Genomic DNA, 24,833 nt, shown 5'->3' with positions numbered 1-24,833 from the left:
CAGGGACTGGCCAGGTTCTGAGAGGGGTGGTGCTGACATGTCTCTCTGACATACAGGGTTCTAGAGGTCAAGGCATCATTTTTGGGTTGATGCCCCAGGCTCTCAGTTTGCTCTATCTGCTGAGCAAAGAGGCGGGAAGTGCAGCTTCTGTTCTAGTCTGCTCCTTCCCTAGTCCCTAGCTCACAGTCAGCAGATGGCAGCTGCCTGGGACTTCTGGACTCCCATAGCTGTGTCTAACCCAGTTGGAAAGAACCCTAACTAGAGAAGAAAGGGAGTGCCCTCCCACCCCTGAGAGAGTCATCTTCAAGAAAGACCACACTTCGAGGGACCAGCTCTTAGTGGCTTTGTTCTCCAGCCCCTTCTGTTAGTGCCTAATGGTACTCACAAGGTATGTGGACATCCGTTTTTTCCCCAGACTCTTTCAGGAAGACATGGCTTTACCTATGGACACAAGTAACAACGCACCAGGACAAATAAGAAGGCGACCTGATCTGTGGATGAGATGAATTTGCTCCATCCTGGAAGGTGCCGCAGTCAGCAAGAGGCAGCTTTTAGAACAGCAGCTTCCCCAGATCTTTCTGTGATGCTAACACTGTATCTTACAGGATGGTTTTGCCACTTAAAAAATAGATTGCATGTCCCCAAGAAAGCAGATTTACCTGGGACCCTCAGTACTAAAAGCTTGGATGAGCTTTCCCAGTAATAATCGAGGCCCCATCTCAGCCCTGCCCTGTCTCTTGCAGCATAAAGTATGGAGAAATAGTCCTTAAAAGTTGGAGTTAAAAAAAAAAAAACATGAGAGGTCTTGGCTAACCAGTTCATCCCTAGTACCATAAAATATTAGCGCTAGAAAGAACTGGAAAGTTCATCTCTTCCACTAGTTCCCAACTCTGGCTGTACATTAAGATCATCCCCAGAAGTTCCACTTGGATGGGTCTGGAGTGGGGTCCCAGCATCAGTATTTTTTTAAAAGCTCTCCGGGTGATTAAAGTGCAGTGGTTGAGAACCACTGCCTGGACAAAGGTAAGCAAGGCTCTCACTCATTCACCCTATAGAAAGGGGCCTCTGACTCCTAATTGAGCCCAGGGGCATTCAGAGGTCTTCCCCAGAGCCCTGTGCTTTTGGGAGGTGCCTCAGCACGGTCCAAGGGCAGGGCTCCAGGCACAATCATATCCCTCACTGCCCCCACACTCCATCCTGGGAGGGTGCTCACCAAGGTCTCAGTTAAGTGGGATATAGCCCAATGACCCTACCACAGTCACATCTGTTGGTCAACCACTGTCACCAAATTCTGTCCCTTTATTGTTTGACCAGTGATGTGTTCCCTGTCTGGAAAAGATAAGCCAGTGAATTACACAATCTCTTTCTCTGGAAGCTGGCTTCAACAGGCCAGAGGGAAGTTGTCAAAGAGTTGAAGAGTCCTGGAGATGTAGCACCTGGGCAGGATCTGAACCTTGTGCCTGGCATGAAGAGAGGGGAGAATGAAAAACCATGAAGGAGCCTCAAATGCCATCAAAGAAGTGGAGATGAAAGAAGCTGGCCCCCAGGGCTCACTGGATTCCTTATCTGCCCGCGGCCCGTTTGCTCAGCTTTTCTTGGATTCCTGGGAGACCTCTCTAGAGCCTTAGGAAAGCCTTGTTTTACCAGAGCCTGCCTTTATATATCCAAAAGAGTCTTAGAGAGAACACTCACTACAAACAGAGCTGCTCCACTTTTATCTTTTTATATTTTGGGGGGCTACATAAGATTTGGATTGCAAAAGGAAAACCAAAAAAGCTTCCATTGCTAAAATATAGTGTGGAAATCATCAAGCTAGTTTGACTCCTTGTTTCACTGAAGGGTATGCTGAGGCACAGAGCAGGGAAGCATGCCTGGTTTTGTCAGCCTCTGTCTCTGTGGGAGACCAGAAGGAGGAGTGTGGAAACTACTAGACAGAGCCATCACGTCCCCCTCACTCCCCCAGCCTCTGCCATAACCACAGGTGTGGGGCTCACTGAGGAGGCAGCTCTGGCATGGGGCATCCTGACTCTAACAGCAGACGGTTTTTTTAGCCCTGAGTGATTTTTCCTTGGAAAGACCCTGCCTGTCTTTGGCACAGAATGGCTGTGTTTCAAGGGAATAAGGGTAGACCTTCAATAAATTCAGAACTCAAGCCAAATCCCACAGCTCACTAACCCCCAAGATCACTCCATACACCTAGAGCAATGAACTCCTCCTGTCCCCAGCTTGACCTGCAGACAAAGAGCCAGCATGGCTCTCTCCTTCACCCTCTGCCCCTGTTCAGAAACCCAGAGCCTGGTGGCTCACAGAAGGGACCTGAGTTGGGTGTTTGCTACAGGTGCCTAAATTCTAACTGACATTTGTTTCTAAATGCAGGACTTACTTTTATTTCTTTCCATAAACATTTCTTTTTTCTTTTTCTTTCTTTTTTTTTGAGACGGAATCTTGCTCTATCACCAAGGTTGGAGTGCAGTGGCACGATCTTGGCTTACTGCAACCTCTGCCTGCCAGGTTCAAGCAATTCTCCTGCCTCAGCCTCCCAAGTGGCTGGGACTACAGGCACGCGCTACCATGCCTGGCTAATTTTTTTTTTTTTTTTTTTTTTTTTTTTTTAGTAGAGACGGGGTTTTACCAAGCTGGCCAGTCTGGTCTCGAACTCCTGACCTCATGATCCACCCACCTTGGTCTCCCAAAGTGCTGGGATTACAGGTGTGAGCCACAATATTTCTAATTCCCTCTGTCCAGGCCCCAATCCCCCTCTACTGAGCCCCACACAATCCACCCATCTACCTTTGTCTGAGGGGTAGATGGTGATGGACATACCCAGTGGTCAACTTCAGCTTGGGACTGAAACTCAAACCAGGAGACCAAAAAGCACAGTTTAGCTCTTACAGGGAAAGAAGAGACACAAGAGGAGTGGACTCACTGTTACTTCCCATGGACTGGACCCCTATTCCCACATAGTTGTGCAGTTCTCCTTATGTAGAATCCCTTTAGAGGGACACTGGAGTGGTCCTATGCACATGACGGTAAAATAATAGAGTAAGAGAGACAGATATAAGAGAGGGTCTAGTCCTGCCCCACCCCCGCCTTACTTGAAAGGGGGGCAGCTTCAGGATCCATAAGTCAGAGGTGAAGATAGACTTTTGGACGGAAAGTGCCCAGATAGCACCTGCTTCCAGCTTCCCACACTAATGCCCAGGGCCTGCATATAATGAAATGCCCAAGTACTTCCTGGGCTCATGCTTGTTCCAGGTCTGATATCTCCATCTGCCGTAACCACCCGTCTCATGATCATCTCCGTAAGTGTCTTTCTTCCACACAGGCAGTCAGCTCTGAGCGAAAGGTGAGGACCGTGTCTTATTTTCCTTTGTATCCCCAACAGCTGGTGCAGTGGTGAGGAGCTAAAAGCAACTCAAGAAGTGCTTGTGAACCAATGGATGAGTGAATGAGAACCCCAGTCACGTCATGGTCCCCTCTGCTGTGCCCTCTGGCCATTCTCCCCAAATTGTGGTAAACAGGACCCTGTCCACTGCCACCCACAAGCCGAGCCCGTAGCCTTACCTCCCATGAGGAAGAGCAGCCCTGCCACGTACTGCATAAGGCCTCGGTCCCAGCAGCAGCCCAGCACGCCGATGATCCAGCCAAAGAGGATGATGGCCACCGCCATGCCCATGAAGCCAGCCGTCATTCTGCGCAGGTCTGTGGGGAAGCAGGCGAGCAACAGTCAGCAGCAGAGCCTGGGACTGAGGGCCAGGGTATACCCCAGCCCTGGGGTGGGTGCAGAGAGGGAGTGGCCCTCCAGGAGCAGGAAGGCAACCTGCCCTTCTCAGATAGGAGCACACAATCTTTGCAGAGGGAGGATCCCCTGTGGTGACTCTATCCTTGTGTGCACAAACAGGCCACAGCAGTTTAGATCCTAAGCACAGGGACAGATCATCACAATATCGTGGCCATTTCTTCTATGCCTCCTTTGTGCCAGGCATAGCGCTGCCTAGCTATATATCTATCTCAACCTTCTGAGACAGGTACTATCTTTATTCCTATTTGCTGAAAGGCACACTGCTAGTAAGCGGTAGAACAGAGACTGGAACCCAGACCTGTCTAGCACTCCCAGCTTCCAAACACAGCATCACTCAGCCTCTCCAAGGAGCTGAGAACCACAGAAATGGGCTGCTGGATCTGGGTAGTCAGGCTGCACCTGCCAGGCTCTCCTGGTCTCACTAGGAGGTTGCAGGTGAGGGAAAGCTAACAGCATGGGGGGTCTGGTGTTCTGTTCCTTCAACTCTAAGCTGGCTCCTGGGCTTAGCTTTCCCTGCATGCAGGGCTGCAGGAGGAGAGCCACACTTCCTGCTCTCCTCTAAGCTCCAGAGCAGACCCCTTTCTTGCACTTACTCCATCTCCTCCACCCCCGGGTCAGCCCCGCTTTCTGAGTCAGGCCCTTCTCTGTTCCACGCCTGGCTAACCCATCAGCTCCAGGAGGAAGAGGGTTGTCTGGAAAGGCAGTATTTTTAGCAGAAGGGAGAGGGCAGAGCTGTTGCCATGGCTCAGTTGGCCACTCAGCATCTGGCTTGGCTTCCTCCCCAGCTCCCACCCCTGCCCTCCTGCACGCAGAGGCAGCCAGAGCTGCTCTCAAGCCCCCTACCCTTCCACGTGCCCACCGCACCCCAGCCCCCACCAGCTCCGGGCACACTTTCCTCATCCATCACCCCTTCTCTAGAGCTCAACCTTCTGACCCTCTGCTCATGCCACCCACCCCTCTACCCTTCACCAACACCCACCACAGCTCCCTGGGCCCTCTCTCCACCCATCCACATCTGAGCCTGTGCCCTAAGCCTGCCAGTGGGGCTCCACACAGGAGCAAAGCTATTTATCCTGCCTCTGCCCCAGGGTCTGTGCTTCCCAGGGGGTTGCAGAACAGCCTGGAGGATCCTTGGGCGTCCCTCTCTGTCAAAGGGAAGTGCCTGAAGCAAACCACATCCACACCCCGTGCAAGCACACCAGCTGCTGCAGCCTGCCTGGACAATCTTTTCTCAACCCTGAGAAACAAACACCCCACAGGTCTCTTTGGAGAATACCTCAGAGACCACATACCTCAAAAGGTGTCCAGGTCCCATCCCCTCCATTCCTCTCTCTCACTCCAGCCACCCCATGGGGAACCCCAGCAGAGCAAACAAAAAGACATATGGTGCAGTTTGGCTTAAGACCCCTCTGTAGAGGGATCCAGACCACCCTTCTTGTCCTGACATTGACCATCAGACACTGACAGCCCCCGGCCAGGGAGGAAGTTGGCCGGGGAGTGGGGAGAGACGGGGCACAGGAGGGGAACAGCAGCAGACCCTTCCTTCTGGTGAGGAGGGGCCTACAGAGGAAGGAGGACAGGGCTCCAGTCACAGAGGCAGAGATCTTTGAGAGCCACAGGGCAGGTTCCTGCTCTACTAGGGCCGCCCTTGTCTGCCCTGGCTGACCCGGGATGCCTGTCCCAGCCAGGTAGAAGTGATGCTTACAGTCACTTATGGGAACTGCCCAGGGTGCCTGATTATCATGCAGCACTGCACCCCCTGCTCATATTACCATATGTGTCAGATGGAACTGCTGAAACCATCGTTTGATCACAATAGGAGCTTGTGAGGCCAGCGGCCTGCGTGGGCAGCCACAGCCAGTCAGAGAAGGGAAGGTGCACTCCTGCCCCTTCTTATTGAATCATCTGTGCCGTCCTCTCCCTCCATCTCCCCAAATGCTGTCTCCATGGCCACCAGCCCTATACCTTAGTCCCTGCTTTCCCCACCACCACAAGAGACTCTGGAGTGACCGAGGCCTGAGCTGCCTTCTCAGTAGACAATGGTCCCCACTTGACATGTGATCCCATCTGGATCATCTCCTGGAAATGGGATACTCTACTACCAATGCTTCTACTCCCCATCATCTTCAAGGGCCAAAAGGTGGTGGGAAGAGGAAAAGAGAGAACAGCTTATTTTCAATGAAAAGAAGGTTTCCCTGTAAGGGGCTTATACTTCCTTAAACAGGATGTATAGTTTTGGATTTTGCGTTTAAGTATTTAATCCATTTTGAGTTTATTTTTTTACTTGGTGAGAGACAGGGGCCTAGTTTCATTCCTCTGCATATGAGTATCCAGTCTTTCCATTTACCGGAGCACCATTTACTGAAGAGGATGTCCTTCCCCCAGTGTATGTTGCTGCCTTTGTTGAAAATCAGTTGGCTATAAATATGTGGATTTCTGGGTTCTCTATTCTGTTTCATTGATTCATGTGTTTTTATACCAAAATCATGAGAAGTGTCTTTCAATGAATGAATAAAGAAAATGTGTTACATATACACAATGGAATACTATTCTGCCATGAAAGGGATGAAATGTTGTCATTTGCAGCAACCTGGATGGAACTGGAGGTCATTATGTCAAGTGAAATAAGCCAGGCCACAGAAAGACAAATATTGCATGTTCTCACTCATATGTGAGACCTAAAAATGTTGATCTAATCAAAGTACAGTAACGGTTACCAGAGGCTGGGACGGGTGTGGATGAAGAAAGATTGGTTAATGGGCACAAACATACAGTTAGAAGAAATAAGTTCTAATGTTTGATAGCAGAGTAGGGTAACTACAGTTAGCAAAAATGTATTGTGTACTTCAAAATAGCTGGAAAAGAGGGTTTGGAATGTTTCCATCACCAAGAAATGATAAATGCTCAAGGTGATGGATATTCTCAATATCCCGACTTGATCATTATACATTCTATGCATTTATCAGAATATCACACGTATCCCAAAAATGTACAAATATCTGAAACTGATAAAAATAAACAAACAGGAGGTATAAACGGTCAGCACATTCATCTTCTGCACCCTTCTCTTTTCGATGTGTGGAGGTTTCTTTCTAGGAGAAATCCTATCCCATTCAGCAGCACTAGACAGGACAACTTTGCAGAGTCCCACCTTGCTGGAGGCCCAGCTGTCACCTGGCTTTGCTCATTGGAAGGCCTGTACTGTTCCCCAGGCTCTGCAGACGCCAGGGAGCAAAGGTTCTGCCTGGGGGAATTAAGTGGACAATGGGTCAATAAGAGGTGTCCACCTTGGCCACGGATGGGAAAGTGGGCTGGGCAGAAAAACAAAATGGAAATGCAAATTAGAAAAAGAGGGAAGGTGAGAGTTGTTGGAGAATGAGAACAAAGTGTTTTACTTAGAAGAAAACAGAGGAAAAGGCAGAACAGCAGCAAAATGAAGACAATAATTCCTCTTCCAAAAGTCTGTGTTCCAGGTCGGGGAGGGGCTGTTGTCCTCTAACACAGATGAGGTACTCTTTGCCTCCTCCCAAAGGGCTTTGTCAGCAGAAGCTGAGGGTTGTGCTAAGCTGTTGATCTAGAAACAAGAATGAAAATCAGAGGCCAGGCCTGTGTATTTCCACTGACCTGGAAAGATTTTCACATCACCCTGAAAACCTTATTTTGCCAGAGCCGTGCATGAACAGCTGGTTACTTTGTCCTTAGACCTATGTGGTAACTCAGGGAAGCTGCAACAACAACTTATAAGGTAGATAGGACAAGAAATGTTCCAGTTTTACAGATGAGGAGAGCAATATCCAAAGAAATTACATAATTTATTGACAAATAATCTCAAAACCAGTGTACTACAAGAAGAGTGAGCTGCATTCTTGAGTTACATGAGAAAATAATGCAATTAAAGATTTCTGGGTTATAACGGCCGATTGAAAAAAATGTGTCTAGCATTTCCTCCTCCTAAACCAAGCCAGACTACAGTTAAGAGATTTCTTAGAAAGACGGAAGTCTTCAAGGATGGGGAAAATAGAAAAGGAGACAGGGATGACAACAACAAAAGTCTGCAGGGCTGACGGATGCTGTCCTAAAGAGTCAAAATTGGACCTAAAGAGTCAAATCTAAAGTCAGTATCAGAGAAGCTGAAAACCAACTTGTGGAATCCCCAAAAGGCTCATGAACTGGCACCAGCAGGTCCATTTGGATCTGGTTGTTAAGCAGAAGAAAGGGAAATAAAACAGGGATTTGGTGGAAGTTATTTAAGATGGATCTAGATTCCTACATCACCTTGGCCACTGCATATCACTGAGGGATTCCTCTCTCCCTTGACTCCTGGGATCAGGGTACGAGGGGGTCGTAAAACACAGTCCTTAGGTTTGGAGATCAACAGGTGAGGGTCAGCCAGCACAGTTGAGGGTCAGGGTATTGTACTGAAGTTCACTACAGCACCCTGATGGAGTTACGGACTGTGTGCATATGGATGTTGAGTTTTAGCATTGATCCCAGCTCTCTTCTACTTGGCTCTCAGACCTGCTGCCAGGGCTTTGCCCTCCAGCCTAGAGACTGGGAGAAGACTTTCTGGGGATGACCAGCACAGAGGAAAGACCTACAGACACTAGCAGTGCCCCAGAATCCGCCCCTCAGACCCCTCTACAATGAAGCCCCAGTTGAACTGGGGTTCACTCAGTGCCCGCAGGCATTTTTCAACATGAGCAGACAAGTAACCATCTTCATATATCTGAGAAAAGCCCATGAATGGGGAGAAAAACAGTGTGCAGAAACAAGTTACAGGGAGAAGAAAAAAATTTTCAAAATTATTTTTGATATCTGCAGAGAGACAAGAGAAGAAAGATATTGCCTCTGTGAAACAAAAACAGAATACTATTAAAAAAGAACTAGGTGGGGAACAAAAAGAATACCTGAAATAAAATAATGGGACCAAAATCTATGAAACTTATATACTCAATTCTAACTTATATATTAATAGTCCTGCCATGTTCCAAAAAAGACTTAAGCAGGCTTAACAAAACGCACACAGTAGAGTGGGATAAAAATAGTGATGCAGGGCTGGGCGTGGTGGCTCACGCCTGTAATCCCAGCACGTTGGGAGGCCAAGGCAGGCAGATCACCTGAGGTCAGGCATTCAAGACCAGCCTGGCCAACATGGTGAAACCCTGTCTCTATTAAAAATACAAAATTAGCCGGGCATGGTGGCATGCCCCGGTAATCATAGCTACTCGGGAGGCTGAGGCAGGGAGAATTGCTTGAACCCAGGAGGTGGAGGTTGCAGTGAGCCAATATCATGCCACTGTACTCCAGCCTGGGCGACAGTGAGACTCCGTCTCAAAAAAAAAAAAAAAAAAAAAAAAAAAAGATGCAGTGAAGGAGAGAAAAAGAAAGAAAAGGAAGATGAGGCCAGATATCACATTCACACACAAAACTTGGCCCATAAGGTCCTCAGAAAGGTTATTCTATCCCATATTTGCACTTAAAGGCATTAGACATTATTTCCATTGTTTAAAAAATCTTTGTTGCTTTTTATTTGCACTTGAGTAAGTCCTGATTGCTTCTCTGCCCAAGGAAAGGCCTGTGCATGTATTCCTGCCCATTCTCGTTAACCTATGTGTCAATCTCCTGTCTTTAGAGGTAAGAAACTGCCTTTTTATTTCTTTGTGATTGCTAACTGTGCCCACAGCAGTATTTTGTACTCAGGAACATATATATAGCTTGTATTTCTTTCCCCATCTCTTCCTGCCTTTTTAGAAAAGAAAAAGAAAAGAACAAGGAGGAAACCCTAACTCTGAGGCCTTGGAAAAATATGATGTGGGACTGGCCTAAGAATAATCCCCCTGGAAAGAGCCCAGAATGGTGAGTTTGACTCTGCAGGCAAAGGCCAAGATAGAGAAAAATCTCCTCACGAATCATGTCAGGCTTGAGTCCATTATCTGTATTCCATGACCCTAATGTTTAACATTCTAATTTTTGAAATGAGAAAGGTGCGTTTATGCTTTGTTGAATTGAGTTCAGGGTGGTGGAAAGGAGTGGGCAGAGGGAGGTTGATAATGAGGGAAGGTGGAGGAGGAAAGGCGAGGAGAACCATTAAATAGAACCAGAAAAAGCTGTTCTCCCTCATGGAAAAATTTTGATTTTGAAGTTTACACTCCTATTAACATTTAAATGGATAGGTATTGCTTGCAACTCTACACAGGAAACCAGGATATCTGCATTTAAATAAACACCACTTAGAGAAAGAAAATATATGGGCTGAATGTCTTTCTATTTGCTCTTTAAAGACCTTGCACAAATAATGATGATGACTGGGATTTTTTTTTCATGGAAAAAAAAAAAACAGAAATGGTGAGGGTAAGTATGCGTTAGACCTTGTTGCGATGGTAATTACTGGGGCTAGAGAAAGAAGCACATCAATACCGCTGGATTCATGGCCCCAGCAGCTAGTGCCTGTAGTGCTGCACTGCAGCTGGAGGCCAGCAGAGCCATGGTCCTCTGACGGCCACATGGGCACCTCCTGGGGAGGTCTGCTGGAAATTCTCCCTTCTGCATGATAGGAGCACGCGGCCTGGGTTACAAAGCAGGAGGGTGTTAGCTGCCCTGAGAGCCGGACATTCATTCACGAATTAATCAAGCCCTTAAAAATCAAGGTCACGGGAATTGAAGGGCACAGCAAAGTGGTGAGGGCAGAACTCAAGTGTTTTTGTCCTAAAGGATCAGTCGGTCTGGGAAGTAAGAGGTGGAAAGAGAGAGAGAGAGAATCTGCAATGAACCTGCTAGCCACGGGATCAACCAGGACAAGCTACTTCAAAGGATAGGGAAGATTCCAGGGCCCAATCACTGCACAGCAACCACCTCTGAAGGAAGTGGGGGTTTTAATTCTGGGAAGCCATATAGAGATGCAACTGGCAGGAACAGGAGAAATCAGGCTGTTCCCATTCAAATCCTGGCTCTTCCGCAGCCAGGGTGCTGGGAACTCAAGCCAATTAGTCCCCGTCTCTGGGTCTGTTTCCACATGTGTAAATGAAGGTTATGACAATACCTACTTCAAAGAGCTGTTAAGAGGATTAAATAAGTAAATATGTGTAAACTGCTTATAATAGTACCTGGCGCAATGCTAGAGCTATATAAGTGTAAATAGAAATAGAAGTCACCTAAATTAAAGCAATTCTCATTTTTTCATGTACTGCTACATCCCCCGAATTTGCCATACATGAGCACATAAGGTGCTGAGTAACATGTTGGGATATGCCCCTGATTAAGGATTTGGGACCCAGAGAAAGCAGAGTTCTGGAAGCTGTCCTTATGCTTTTCAGGTACCTGGAGAGGCCAAGGTGAAGGCATTACTTCTTAATTTATTGATACTGAGTTGCATCCACCCCAGGGAGCTGGTGCTGCCTATCCTCCGAGGACCAAAACAGCTGGAGGCTAAAGCAGCTAATAGCAGAGGCACCTGTGGCTATAGAGGCTGTTTGAACCCTGGGCTCTGGCAGTAAGCACTGCACTGATCTGGAAGGAAAAGACATGGGGCAGGACTGAGACTCTGCTGGGAAAGCATCAATGATTTAGTTAAGAAGAACTAAAACAGCGAATTCCATAATGGGAGGTTTTGCCTATGACTTTCTTCTAGGGTGTAAGTTGGTTCCGCATCATAATGTAATTATATATTTTTCACTTTTTTAATTGACAGATAACATTTTATGTTTTTATCATGTACAACATGATGTTTTGAAGTACATATACAAAATGCAAAGGTTAAATCTAGCTCATCAACAAATGAACTCACACAGTTATCACTTTTGTGGGAGGAGCACGTAACAGCTACTCTTTATGTATTTTTCAAGGATATAATATATCACCATTAACAATAGTCACCTTACTGTACAATAGATCTCTTGAAATTTACTTCTCCTATCTAACTGTAATTATGTATCCTTTGACCAATATCTCCCCATACCCTCCTAACCTCTAACCACACCAGCCTCTGGTAACCACTGTTCTATTCTCTACTTCTATGTGATCAACTTTTTAGATTCCACATATGAGTGAGATCATGCAGTACTTGTGTTTCTGTGCCTGACTTAGCATAGTGTCCTCCAGGTTCATCTATGTTGTTGCAAATGGCAGGATTTCATTCTTTTTTATGGCTGAATAATATTCTATTGTATGAGTGTGTGTGTGTGTGTGTGTGTGTGTGTGTGTATTACATTTTCTTTATCCATTCATCCATTGGTTGACACTCAGGTGATATGATTCCACGTCTTAGCTATTGTGAATAATCTAAATGAGCATGAAAGTGCAGATATCTCGTTAACATACTGATTTCAATTTCTTTGGGTATATAGTCAGTAGTGGAATTGCTGGATTGTATGGCAGTTCTATTTTTAGTTTTTTGAGGAATCTCCATATGGTTTTCCATAATGGCTGTACTAATTTCATTCCCACCAAGAGTGTATAAGGGTTCCCTTTCTCCATTTTCAGTACTTGTTATCCTTTGTCTTTGTTATAGTAGCCATTCTAACTGAGGTGAGATGGTATATCATTGTGGTTTTGTTACCAGCAGTGAATCCAGTGGGTCTACAGCAAACTCAATCCTTGCCTCCTTGGAGGAAAGAATTCAGCTGAGGGGCAGAAGTAGGTTTAAGGCTGAGGAAGAGACCAAGGCAAGTTTTAGAACAGGAGTGAGAGTTTAGTGAAAAGTTTCATAGCAGGGGTGAAAGGAAGCAAAGTACACTTGGAAGAGGGCCTAGCGGGCAACTTGAGAGATCCAAGTGCCCTGCTTGGCCCTTAAGATGGGGCTTTATACATTGGCATGGTTCCAGGGTTTCCATTTCTCTCCCCTTGATTTTTCCCTTGGAGCGGCTGTCCACACGTGGGGTGGCCTGCCAGGACTTGGGAGGGGCTGCACACACAGTGTGTTTACTAAAGTTGTGCACATCCTCCATGAGGCATTTTTCCCTTACCTGGTCTAGCATTTTCACAGGAAGGTCATATACCAGTTAAACGCTGCCATTTTGCCTCTTAGTATGAATGCTTGAGCCTGCTCACCCAACTCCTGAGATCTTATTGGGAAGCTGCTGTTCACCAGCTTCATCTGTTTTCTTTTTCTTTCCTTTTCTTTTTTTCTTTTTTTTTTTTTTTTGAGGTGGAGTCTCGCTTTTGTTGCCCAGGCTGGAGTGCAACGGCACAATCTCAGCTCACCACAACCTCCGCCTCCCAGGTTCAAGCAATTCTCCTGCCTCAGCCTCCCAAGTAGCTGGGATAACAGGCATGTGCCACCATGCCCAGCTAATTTTTTTTTGTATTTTTAGTAGAGACAGGGTTTCTCCATGTTGGTCAGGCTAGGTGTTTTCTATCTATTGGGAGACTGTCTTTCCCTGGCACCAGCTATGACCAATTATTATTTTATTAATAGAGAGACAGTTAACAACTGACTGGCCATCACCTGATGGTCACCTGGCATTCACAGGGAGTCCTCTCCTGTTCTGGTCATGTCTACCTAACTACCTGCTCTAACAGTTTTAATTTGCATTTCCCTGACGATTAGTGATATTGAGCATTTTTGTATATACCTGTTGGCCATCTGTATGTCTTCTTTTGAGAAATGTCTATTCAAAGCTTTTGCCCATTTTTAAACTGAATTATTTGTTTGTTTTATTATTGGGTTGTTTAGTTTCTTATATATTTTGGATATTAATCCCTTGTCAGATGTATAGTTTGTAGCTATTTTCTCCTATTCTGTAGATTGTTACTTCACTCTGTTGATGGTTTCCTTTACTGTACAGAAGCTTTTTAGTTTGATCCCATTCGTTGATTTTTGTTTTTGTTGCCTGTGCTTTTGAGGTCTCATATAAAAAAAAATCCTTGCCCAGACCAATGTCATGAAACATTTCCCCTGTTTTCCTCCAGTAGTTTCATAGTTTCAAGGCCTATGTTTAAGTCTTTAATCCATTTTGAGTTAATTTTTGAATACGGTGAGAGATAAGGTTCTAATTGAATTCTGCTGCATGTAGATATTCAGTTTTCCCAACACCATTTACTGAAGAGACTGTCATTTCCCTATTGTGTGTTCTTGACACCTTTGTTGAAAATCAGTTGGCTGTAAACATGTGGCTTTATTTCTGGGCTCTCTATTCTGTTCCATTGGTCTGTTTTTATGCCAGTACCATGCTGTTTTGATTACTATAGTTTTGCAGTATATTTTGAATTCAGGAAGTATGACATCTCCAGCTTGCTTCTATTTGCTCAGGATTGTTTTGACTATTTGGGGTCTTCTGTCATTCCATACAAATTTTAGAATTGCTTTTTGTATTTCTGTGAAGAATGTCTTTGGTATTTTGATAGGGGATTGCACTGAATTCTAGATTGCTTTGGGTAGGTATGAACATTTTAACAATATAAATTATTCCAATCCATGAACATGGAATATCTTTCCGTTATTAGTGTCTTCTTCAATTTCTTTCATCAGTGTTTTATAGTTTTCATTGCAGAGATCTTTCACCCCATTTGGGTAAATTTACTCCTAAGTGTTTAAATTTTTTGCAGCTACTATACTGTACTTGATTTCTTTTTCAAATAGTTTCCTATTAGTGTATAGAAATGCTACTGGTTTTTGTATGTTGATTTTGTAAATTGCAACTTTAATTTATTAGTTATAATAAATGTAGTATTAGTTTATTAGTTATAATAAATATAGCTTTTTAATGGAGTGTTTAGGGTTTTCTCTCTATATAACTACATAATGTAGTTATACTTAATAATTATTCTTATGTCAAAATAAGATAGTTTTTATGTTTCCATGAAAAAGTACATGAGTTGGAGCTTTGATCCCTAAAAGGCCCTTCAGAACTGTCCTCTGCCTCTCCCTGCATCACCATCTTTCTCTAAGCCCCCCATGCTTTAGTCACAACAAGCTGCCATTCCCCTTCCTCTTTCCATGATGACACTGTGCTCTCTGCCAACATGGGTCCCCACTGGCTCCATCTGTCAAGTTTCTCATCATCCTTGCAGAGTTCCCTAAAAAGTAAATGTCTCTGGGAAACTTCCATGGTACTTTAGTAGACACTCACATCCAGTCCTTGGGGTTCCTGGAGCAGTTGGTTGATATCACTACCACATCTTTTTATAATTATTTATGTCTCCCTCTCACCAATAAATTTAAGCTTGTTGAGGGTTGCATTCATGTTTGGTTTGTTTTGTCTTTCTAGTCTCCAGAGCACTGCCTGACATAAGCAGGTGCTCACTAAATATTTATTTGCTAAGTGAGATCACCATTCCACTCTGCAACAATTGCTAAAACTGTATGCACCGTGGCATAGTGTAGGGTGAGGAGAGCGGATCCACTTCAGTGACTTAAATATATTTGCAACTTAAAGTCAATTTTTCTCTTCTCCAATCTCATTTTTTAAAGCCAGCATTAACTATCACTTAATAATTCAACATAGTTTTTATTGTCTACAATGAAAACATCAACATGGGGCCAGATTCCAGATGACACACAGCAATAAAGTTTAATGAGCACATATGATAGCCCACAGATTAGGAACCCAACAGACATTTCTGCACTGTCCCTCCCCCAAGTCAGGAAGAGATAGGGGGGGAAGGTAGTTTCTGTGGAAACAAGAAGTGGTTTCTGGGTCAGAAGACAGGCTTGACACTTCCTCCTCCTCAGTCCTACCTCCGGATCAGAGAATTGCTCTAAATAGGGATATTATATGAGGCTGACATATACAAATCAAATCCATTGTCAAAACAATGAAAGAAAAATTGCAAAATTTGTACTCGCCTGAAGAAAGCTAGGTCAGCTGGTAACACAAGTGCCTGGAGGGAAGAAAGAAGGGGGTAAAACGCAAGACCAAGAGGCAGAGTCGCAAGACCAAGAGGCAGAGTCGCAAACCCAAAACTCACAAGAATGGCCCCTTTCTCGCTGCTAAGCCAACAGCAGAAAATGCAGAAGGGAAGGATGAAAGGAAACTGCAGCTCAGCCAACCAGGTGTGCTTAGGTAGACCCAGCTTGGAGTCTGGTTCTCTGTCCTCTGGCTGTCTTTACTGATGAAGACAAACTAGGTTGGTACAATCTGCTACCCCACCCCAAAGAAGCTTCCATTTCTCCTTCCCTATATCACACATCACTGAGAGCTGTGCAGAGTGCAAAGTGCAGGAATTTGGGGTTGCTTGGCAAGAATGTTCCACCAGAGGGTTACTACAAAACAATTAGAAGATGGGAGCTTTAAAACACATGGGTACCCTAGAGGGTGTTAGCCAACCCAGAAAAATGTTGCAGGTGCCTGAGATTTGGCTGATGGCAAAGGATTTGAAAAGCCTGGGAAAGGGGAAGATAAATAGGAATTAACACTGATTATGCATTTACTAAGTGCAGGCATGTGTTGAGCAATTTGCATAGCACATGTCAATTCATCCTCCCAACGACTATATAAGGTAGGCGCTATTTTTCTCATTTTGTAGGTTTGGAAATTGAGACAAAGAGATTTTAGTTGGCCAAGGTCACACAGCCAGTAACAGGCAGCTCTGGGAAGGTGTCTTGGTCTGTCCATGCCCTTTCTATTCCTCAGTGCTTTTCATGATCCGTGCCACTTCAAACCCCAGAAGGGAACTGGACATTCAATCAAATGTAATGGAATATTATTCAGCTATTAAAAGTATTCTTTTGAAGGACATGAGGAAAATTCATAAGAGAATATTAAATGAAGAATAATGCACAAGCCTACATTTATGACCCCCATCTGAGTACTGCGGGTGTATCTCTGTGCTGCCATGCATGTCTACCCACGTGGGAAAAGCAAAGGAAAAGTACACCAAATGTTAACAGGGAGGCTTTTTTGGGTTGTGATATTTTGGGTTTTGTTTGTTCTTTTCTACAATAAGGATGTGTTACTTTAACAATCAGCTTTTGAGTTATTTGAGAGATGTGAGCTTTATTGTTTTTAAAAAATTCCAAGCACGGATCATGAGGCAAACTGCACTAACTGGAGCTCTGATGGAAGAGAGGCCTGGCCACCGATTGCGTCTCATAAGTTTTGTCTTTTAAAAGACATATTGCCACTAAATATTTTCTTTTTACAGTGGAAGCTACAGACCTGCCATGCTCCTCTTTGGCCAACAGTGCGCATGTACTGTGGAGATGTTCACCTTTGGAGGCCTGAGCTTCCTTTACTTGGCAGCTCCAGTGCAGGCCAACACTGGCTGATTGCCAGGAAGGAGGAATGGGGCTCTAAAGTGTCAGGGCCACCATTGCCTTTTTTGCATGTGATGCTTTCAGTGACGTGTGCCTGGTTCCCTGAGTACCTGTTGTCTGACTATATCTCACACTTTAGTGGCAAGGCACTTTGGGACCATGCCGGAATCTCAAACAAAACTTATACAAATGTTGAGGTCAGGCATGTGGTGGCTCACACCTGTAATCCCAGCATTTTGGGAGGCCAAGGTGGGTGGATCATCTGAGGTCAGGAGTTCAAGACCAGCCTGACCAACATGGTGAAACCACATCTTTACTAAAAATACAAAAAAAAAAAAAATTAGCTGGGCATGGTGGCATGCAGCTGTAATCCCACTTATTCGCGAGGCTAAGGCAGGAGAATCACTTGAACCCAGGAGGTGGAGGTTGCAGTGAGCCAAGATCGTGCCACTACACTCCAGCCTGGGTGACAGAGCAAGACTCCATTTCAAAAAAAAAAAAAAAAAAAAACACAAATGTCACTATAGAAATCTTCTTACTCAAATCTGCCCCTTTAACTACTGAGGTCCATGGGAACAAAGCATGGCAATTCGTTTGAACAGCATGACAGCATGGGAAGAACAAACAAACAAATACTGAACTCAAGGCTAGAAGACCAGCATCTGAGTCCTCATTCTGCACATCCTGGTTGGAAAGCGTTGTATATGTCACAAACTCTTAGTTCTGAGCCCTCAAAGCTGAGACCAATAGATGGCAAGCCCCCTCCTCCTCCTCCATATTCTAAAGCTGAAGAGTCTAATATGGTAGCCACCAGCTCATGTGGGTGTAGAGCACTTGAATTGATACAGGCTGTAAGTGTAAAATACGTACCAGATGTCAAAGACTCAGCATGACTTTTTGTAAAATATCTCAATAGTAATTGTTTATATTGATTGCATGTTGATATGAGAACATCTAGATATATTGGATTAAATAAAGTACATTATGGGCTGGGCATGGTGGCTCACGCCTGTAATCCCAGCACTTTGGGAGGCCGAGGCAGGCCAGATCACCTGAGGTCAGGAGTTCAAGACCAGCCTGGCCAACATGGAGAAACCCTGTCTCTACTAAAAATACAAAAATTAGCCAGGTACCTGTAATCCCAGCTGCTTGGGAGGCTGAGGCAAGAGAATCACTTGAACCTGGAAGGCGGAGGTTACAGTGAGCCGAGATCACGCCACTGCACTCCAGCCTGGGTGACAGAGCAAGACTCCATTGCAAAATAAATAAATAAATAATGAAAATTAATTTTACCTGTTTCTTTTTGTGTCTGTAAGGTGGCTAATAGAACATTTTAAGTTACACATGCGGTTTGCACGATATTTCCATGGGACAGCACTGTTCTAAAGAGAGGCGTGAGACCTTGTGTAGAGCTTGCTACAAAGTGCCCCGATCTAGTTCTGCAACTCATAGTGCTCTCGCCGCCTTCAGTTTACATATAACAAGAGACCAGGAGATGGACGCAGAAGGTTGGTGAGTGACAGTTTCTTGCATTTCTATTCTCTCCCCATGGGAGCTTCCCCACTCCAGCCACTGCACGTCTCAAGCTGGTGGTAGCTGGCTCAAGGACAGAAAAAGGCCCTCAAGAGAACCACACAGAGAGCTATGTGCAGGTACTCTAGAATTTAGAGGACACAGGGGAGGGTGCCTAGCTGTGGCCTGAAACAATGAGGCCAGAGGCTGTTTCATGCTGCCTCTGGCAACAGAGCCAACACAGGCTCTGTGTGAGGAAGGATCCAGTGGTTTCTCCATGTACCAAGTGGATGCCAATGAAGACTAAACCGCCTTGAAAAGACTCCATCCTACAGCTTTGCCCATTAGCGTACGATCACACCAACAAGAAGAGTCTCCATTGTGAGGTAGCACCAGAAATGGGAGGTGAAGTGGGAGCAGAACCAGCTCAGCTGGAAGGTGTCCTCCCCACATCAGGAGACAATCAATGGTGCAACACCAATTCCTGCAAAGCTTTCCCAAAGGAACCCCAAAAGTCCTGTACAAGAGAGGGAGAGCCAGCCTTTGGGCCCCACCACATGGAGGGCCCGGAGAGCAATAACACCAGGCAAGTCAGAGCCTTGGCCTTTTACCTGTCCTCCTTTCACCAACCGCAGCCCTGGAGGAGCCAGAAGTAATAGGGTTAACAGGGAGCAGGTAGAATCGTAAAAATAAAGAAGCTGAACAGATCTCTTTCCGTATTGCAGGTTTCTAAGAAAATGTCAAGCCCGAGCTGGGAAAGGGAGAAGATGTAAACTAAATATTAATATAAGACTGAGGTTCCGATATTAGATCTGAATCAAATTTTAATACCTACAAATAAAAGCTTATGAATATGTGACAGTTTACCCCCAAATCTATGGAGTCTCCCATAGGTATCACCTAGGAATGGATATGGCAGCTCAGAAAGGATGGGCTTAAAAGGTTGTAGTGAGAAAAAAAAAAAAGTTGTAGGTACAGTCTTTTAAATAAATTGTTTACAGATGACCTTATGCAAGTCATATCCGAGACAAGAATGATATAATGATGATGATGATGATTATCATGATGATGACAGTGATGATGATAAAGCTAGGATTTCTGATGTGCTAGGCATGTTCTAAGAATTTTCTATACATTGTCACATTTAAATCCTCCCCCAGAATTGATGAGCTTTTCATTTCCCTTTTACCCATGAGATCATAAGGAACTTGCCCCAAGCAGGCAGCTTAGAAGCAGCAGAACTAGGGTGAGAATCTTGGTCTGACTCCAACCAAGGCCCACGCTTTTATTCACTGTGCTCTGTGGTCTCCTAGAGTCATTGATCAGATGAGATCTGTGAAAGCCCTTTGTAAACTGTAAAGTGCTACCACAAATGCCAGTGATGATTTGTGTTCACTGCCATGCTACGAGGCAGAGGAACAAATACAAGGCTCAGTGAGTATGACTGGTATCATCCAATGTGTATTTAACAGGTGCAGGATATACCAGTCTTTACAAAGTGGAAATGTGAGAGTAGCAACTTATTTTTTCCCCCAAAAAATCTTTAAATTCTAAAATTCTAGCAAATTCTGTTTTCTAATTTAGAAGCATGATGGAGAAGGGGCCTAAAGAGTATGTTCTTACCTCCATCCACATATAAGCAAGGATGTTTTCCAAAGCCCATTGCATAGGAGGGCAGGATCAAGCAATATGGCAGGAAAAATGAGGGTTTAGGGGTAGTGAGGACTGAAGGATACTAGTGGCTGCTGTCCTGGGAACGGGAGATAGCCTCTAGCTCCTTCTTCTAGTTCTTACTTTATAGAAGCAGGTTAATTTCTGTGTTTACCTGTCTAATTTCTGACATCAGAATAACATTCCTTGCTACCTGGAAGTTAGGGGGTAGACCAAATGACTCTGCCCCAGTAGTTGTGATTCTCAATGCCATGTATGTATGCAGTATGCCAGCCTGTCTTTATCTCAAGAGATGGAGCAAAATGTGCAAACTAAGAGAACATTATTTAAACACTAATAATACATCATGGAGCCATTTTTGAGGAAGGCTGAGGAACCATAAATCAAATCAATGATAACAGGTTTGTGTACCTCCCACAAACCTGGGAGTCACTGTGCCTGAGGTAACAGAGCCTTCTCCCCTCCCTCCTTCAAAGGCAGTGCTTCCTTCTCTCCACTCATTCCCTCTCCTGTTAAGGAGATGCTTGTTAGTAACCTGTAAAGATTGAGTGGGCTCGGTCGACCTCTCCTTTCCCCTGTGCCTTTCTCTGCAGCTCTATTGACTTATTTTTGAAGGCTATGTTGACCCAGGCTTTTTTTAGCAGATGGTTAAAGCTCATTCAAATAAAGATCTTGCCAAGAAAAGAAACTCCGTAGAAGGAAACTAAAGTCAGTATCTTACCTCTCACTTGAAAAAAAGTTTCATCAACAGAAATTCCCTCTTTGGGTTCATCCTACATTCATTTATTTATTCATTCAATGCATGTTTCTCAAGCAGCTGCTGTGTGCAAGAGGTGAAGCAGTGGACCTAACCGAATTACTGGCTCCATTAAACACACTTTCCAGAGAAAGACACAAACTACATGCATATTCATATATATGTGTATGTAGTGGGGGGGGGCAGTGATAAATGCTATGGAGAAAAAATTAAGTAGGTTGGGGGATGAGCTGTAATGAAGTAGATGTAGGAGAGTTGCTATTTAACATATGGAGGTCAAGAAAGCGCTCTCAATAAGGTGACATCTAAGCAGACACCTGAGGAAGGGAGGGAATGGGTATGTGAATGTCTGGGGGAAGAGTATTCCAGGTAGAGGGAACAGCAGATGCAAAGGCACTGAGGCAGGAGTCTGCTTATCATATTTGATGAATAGGAGAAAGAGTAAATGTTCTATATACTCCTGTGTAATGGTTTTTTTTGCCACGTAATTATTATAACATGCTGACTTAGAGCCATATAATAGATCGTAGTGATCTGTTAGAAACAAAGATATACTTGCTGTAACCAGCTAAGTTCTCTTTCTGGGAATAAATACATGTTCCAATTTTCCATCCTGATGACTAGAGAAGGGGATAGAGATTTTTGCTCAATTAAACTGCTTTTAATGAGGAATTCACTTGGTCAATCACTCACCAGGGACTCCATATGCCATGCTTAGAGCTTGGATTTCATCCCGAAGGCCATGGCAAGCCACTGAAGGAGTCTAAGCTGGGGAGAAGCTGGTTAGGTTTTTGTTTTCTCTAGAAAGGTGACCATGGCTGCAGAGTAGAGTTCTGACTGGGAGGAAGAAAGTCTTAGAGACAAGACAATCCCACAAATGATGAAGACCTGCACTATAGCAGAGAACAGGGTTGAGAGGCTGAATTCAGGGGATAGTAAAGCAGTCAGACTGTTAGGAATTAGTGATCAATTGAATATGAGAGAAGGGGAAAGATGAGCCACTGATGACTCCCAGGATTCTGGTTTGGATGATGGGGAAAATGATATCCTTGGTGATGTCCTTGACCAAGACACAGACTCAAAGAGGAGACCTAGAGTGTTGCCTTTCTTTTGGGGTTTCTTTTTCTTTCTTTTTTTTGGAGGGGCATGATGGAAAGCAAGGACGGGGCCAGCCGCGGTGCCTCACGACTATAATCCCAGCACTTTGGGAGGCCAAGGTGGGTGGATCACTTGAGGTCAGGCGTTCAAGACTGGCCTGGTCAACATGGTGAAATCCCATCTCTACTAAAAATACAAAAAAATTAGTTGGGCATGGTGGCTCATGCCTGTAATCCCAGCTATTCGGTAGGCTGAGGCAGGATAATCACTTGTACCTGGGAGACAGAGGTTGCAGTGAGCCAGGATTGTGCTACTGTACTCCAGCCTAGGCAACAGAGTGAGACTTCTTCTAAAAATAAATAAATAAATAAAAATAGCATGGAAGGACAAATCTCATAAGAGAAGAGAAATTTGTCAAGTTTAATTCGTTAAGTGCCTAATACACACCTAATTGGAAATGCCCTTTATGGCACTGGCTGTACAAGTCTAGCACATAGGGGAGCAATTATTACTTGAGATACTGACTTGAAAATCACGTAGTTAAAGCTGTAGGATTGAATGCCTGCTTTTCGAGAGATGGAACATAAAGTGAGAAGATAAGAAGGGTAAGAATAGAATTTGAATACCGACATTTAAGGGATAAGAAGAAGAAGAGAAGGAGAATGAACCCAGATGACCTAAAAGTGTAGGGCAAACCTAGCATAAGGGTCACCATGGAAGTGAAGGAACTAACAGGTTTCACTGATGGCTAATGTTACTGGGATCAAATAAGACATAAGATCATAAAACCTTCAACTGCAATTTGCTGAGTGCTGATTGTGTGCCAGGCATTGTGCTAATGATAGGAAGCATGGTTTCTACTACAGCATGTTTTTTTTCCTGCGTGGCCCCTACTAGATTTATAACTAGAAGAGGTCCCCTGTGACCTTGTCAAGGGCTCTTTTAGTGGAAGTCAATTTCATTGGGTTACTGGGGATGAGTGGGAGGTAAGGAAGTGAAAGTCACTCCTAACTAGTATGCTTTCAAGTAGCCTGGCTGGAGAGAAGAGGAGGGAAATGGAGCAGCAGTGAGTGTGGATGGAACACAGAGTCAGGGAGGACTTCTCTTTTTTATAAAGGATGTAAGACTTAAGTATATTTCTATGAAGAGGAGAAAGACTTAGCAGAGAGGATGAACCTAATACCTGGGACTTAACCTTTCCCATGCTCTGAATCTCATCCAAGTCAATATAGCAGACCACAGGCAAACTGAGGGAAGCTCTTCCTGGTTCTACTTGATAAACGTGGACAGCAGAGTTCAGCGGTAAAGGACACTGCTTTGGAGTCAGACTGTCTGGACTTAAGCTCTGGATCTACCTCTTACTAGTCATGTGACCTTAATATCATTGGGCCTCAGTTTCCTCAGCTCTGAGAAGGTCTAATAATAGTACCTATCTCACAAGATTGTTATGAGAATTATACTTGCATATTACTTAGAGGCTGGCACAAAGTAACTGCTATGTAAGTGCTCAAAAAGGCTTAGAAACAGACACGCAATGTACAGGTACACCCACACAGGCACATTCAGTGGAAGGCGCTAGTGGAGAGTGAAACAAGAGAGAACACAGCTTGCTAGGTGGGGGGTAGGGAGAAAAGTGGATGAGTTTACAGGTGAGAGGCACCTTTCCTCTTCCCAAGTCACTCCCAGCTCCTCTAGAATCACCCGTTCTGTAAGAAGTGCCAATCATGTAGCATCACCGTGGGTGGGACCCCTCACTTAGTGCCCATTCATTCATTCATTCACTGACTCATTCATTTGTTCATTCACTGAGGTCTATCTCTCAGTCAGGTATTATTCTAGGCCCTGAAGAGACAAAGATGGGTAAGACACCAGCCCTTCTGTCTTGAGAAGGCCGCTGGTCCAGAAAGCCTTGGGGTTCTCTTGTTGTGTTCTTTCCTACTGTTCTCCCACATCTTAGGCAGTCATCCAATTGTTTGGAGAACAGAGGCTGCATTTTTTTCTTCTTTGTGTCTCTCACAGCATCTAAGACATAGCAGAAGCTCTAAATCTCTATGGGATGAAGGAATCCATCTATTCCATTTGGTAGGAGCATGAATGACTAGCAGCCCACAGTGTCTCTCCTGGATGATGAGGTAGCAAGGGAGGAAGGAGCTGACATTTACTCAGCACTTACTATGTGCCAGGAACCGTCGACAGTGCACTGTACACAGCTCACTTACAGGCAGATGATGAGAAAGGCTTTTCTATTTGTTTTGTTCAAAAGTGATGTCTAATGGCTTTGCTTTTATGTTTTCCAACGCTTTCCATTTTGCATGGTTTGCTTTCTATGCTTGAAGCGTCTCACATGACTGGAAACATTTTTCATGCTTCACGTGTAGTCAGTCACTGTTGAATTTTGCCGGTGTTTTGCTGTTGGGTCTTTTGTTAAGTAAATGCTCGTTATGTACTCTGTGTCTGGTTCTACAAGAGACAAGCATCCCCACCCCGTTAGCCCCATGTGTGCCAATCTCTCCCTCTGCCCTTGATGTTGTCTTTGTTCTGTGGCAGGCTATCGAAGCCTGCTTGAATAAGGTGCTCACTAATGAGGCCAAGGTCATTGGCAGATATGTGAAAATCCAGAACAAAATGAGAAACATTTGGGCAAAGCCTTTGTTTTTCAGTTCTCCCAAAGGAAACGGTGTGTTTGATTTACCTCCAAGTTGGAATAAAACTAAATGGATCGTGGATTTTTTAAAGTATGATGGGTAAAATATTTAAGGCAAGATGTTTATATATTGATAGCCAGCCTGTTCTGCTCTCCA

At 44.6% G+C, this 24,833-nt stretch overlaps 1 protein-coding gene across 4 annotated transcripts in view, besides 2 other annotated features; it reads right to left on the bottom strand.

Annotated features, from left to right (window-relative positions):
• The window catches only part of TMEM178B (transmembrane protein 178B), a 437,233-nt gene that overhangs the window by 69,987 nt on the left and 342,413 nt on the right, over window positions 1-24,833 (bottom strand). For all 4 annotated transcript variants that reach the window (XR_001744505.2, XM_017011636.2, NM_001195278.2 and 1 more), the window contains exon 3: window positions 3,565-3,702. Coding sequence is in view for 3 of the 4 variants with exons in the window: in XM_017011636.2 (XP_016867125.1) it covers window positions 3,565-3,702 (138 nt within the window). In the remaining variant the exon portion in view is untranslated. The remainder of the gene's footprint in view (window positions 1-3,564; window positions 3,703-24,833) is intronic.
• Window positions 10,197-10,705: an enhancer, noted in NCBI's record as "OCT4-NANOG-H3K27ac-H3K4me1 hESC enhancer chr7:141130405-141130913 (GRCh37/hg19 assembly coordinates)". NCBI's record gives its function as "activates a minimal SCP1, AML or CMV promoter by ChIP-STARR-seq in naive and primed H9 embryonic stem cells {active_cell/tissue: H9 hESC(naive and primed)}" and the evidence as "EXISTENCE:reporter gene assay evidence [ECO:0000049][PMID:30033119]".
• Window positions 10,706-11,214: an enhancer, noted in NCBI's record as "OCT4-NANOG-H3K27ac-H3K4me1 hESC enhancer chr7:141129896-141130404 (GRCh37/hg19 assembly coordinates)". NCBI's record gives its function as "activates a minimal SCP1, AML or CMV promoter by ChIP-STARR-seq in naive and primed H9 embryonic stem cells {active_cell/tissue: H9 hESC(naive and primed)}" and the evidence as "EXISTENCE:reporter gene assay evidence [ECO:0000049][PMID:30033119]".

Source organism: Homo sapiens, chromosome 7, assembly GCF_000001405.40.
Source record: "Homo sapiens chromosome 7, GRCh38.p14 Primary Assembly".
Taxonomy (NCBI): Eukaryota; Metazoa; Chordata; class Mammalia; order Primates; family Hominidae; genus Homo; species Homo sapiens.
The sequence above is the reverse complement of the archived record's forward strand: the minus strand, read 5'-3'. Positions and strand labels throughout refer to the sequence as shown.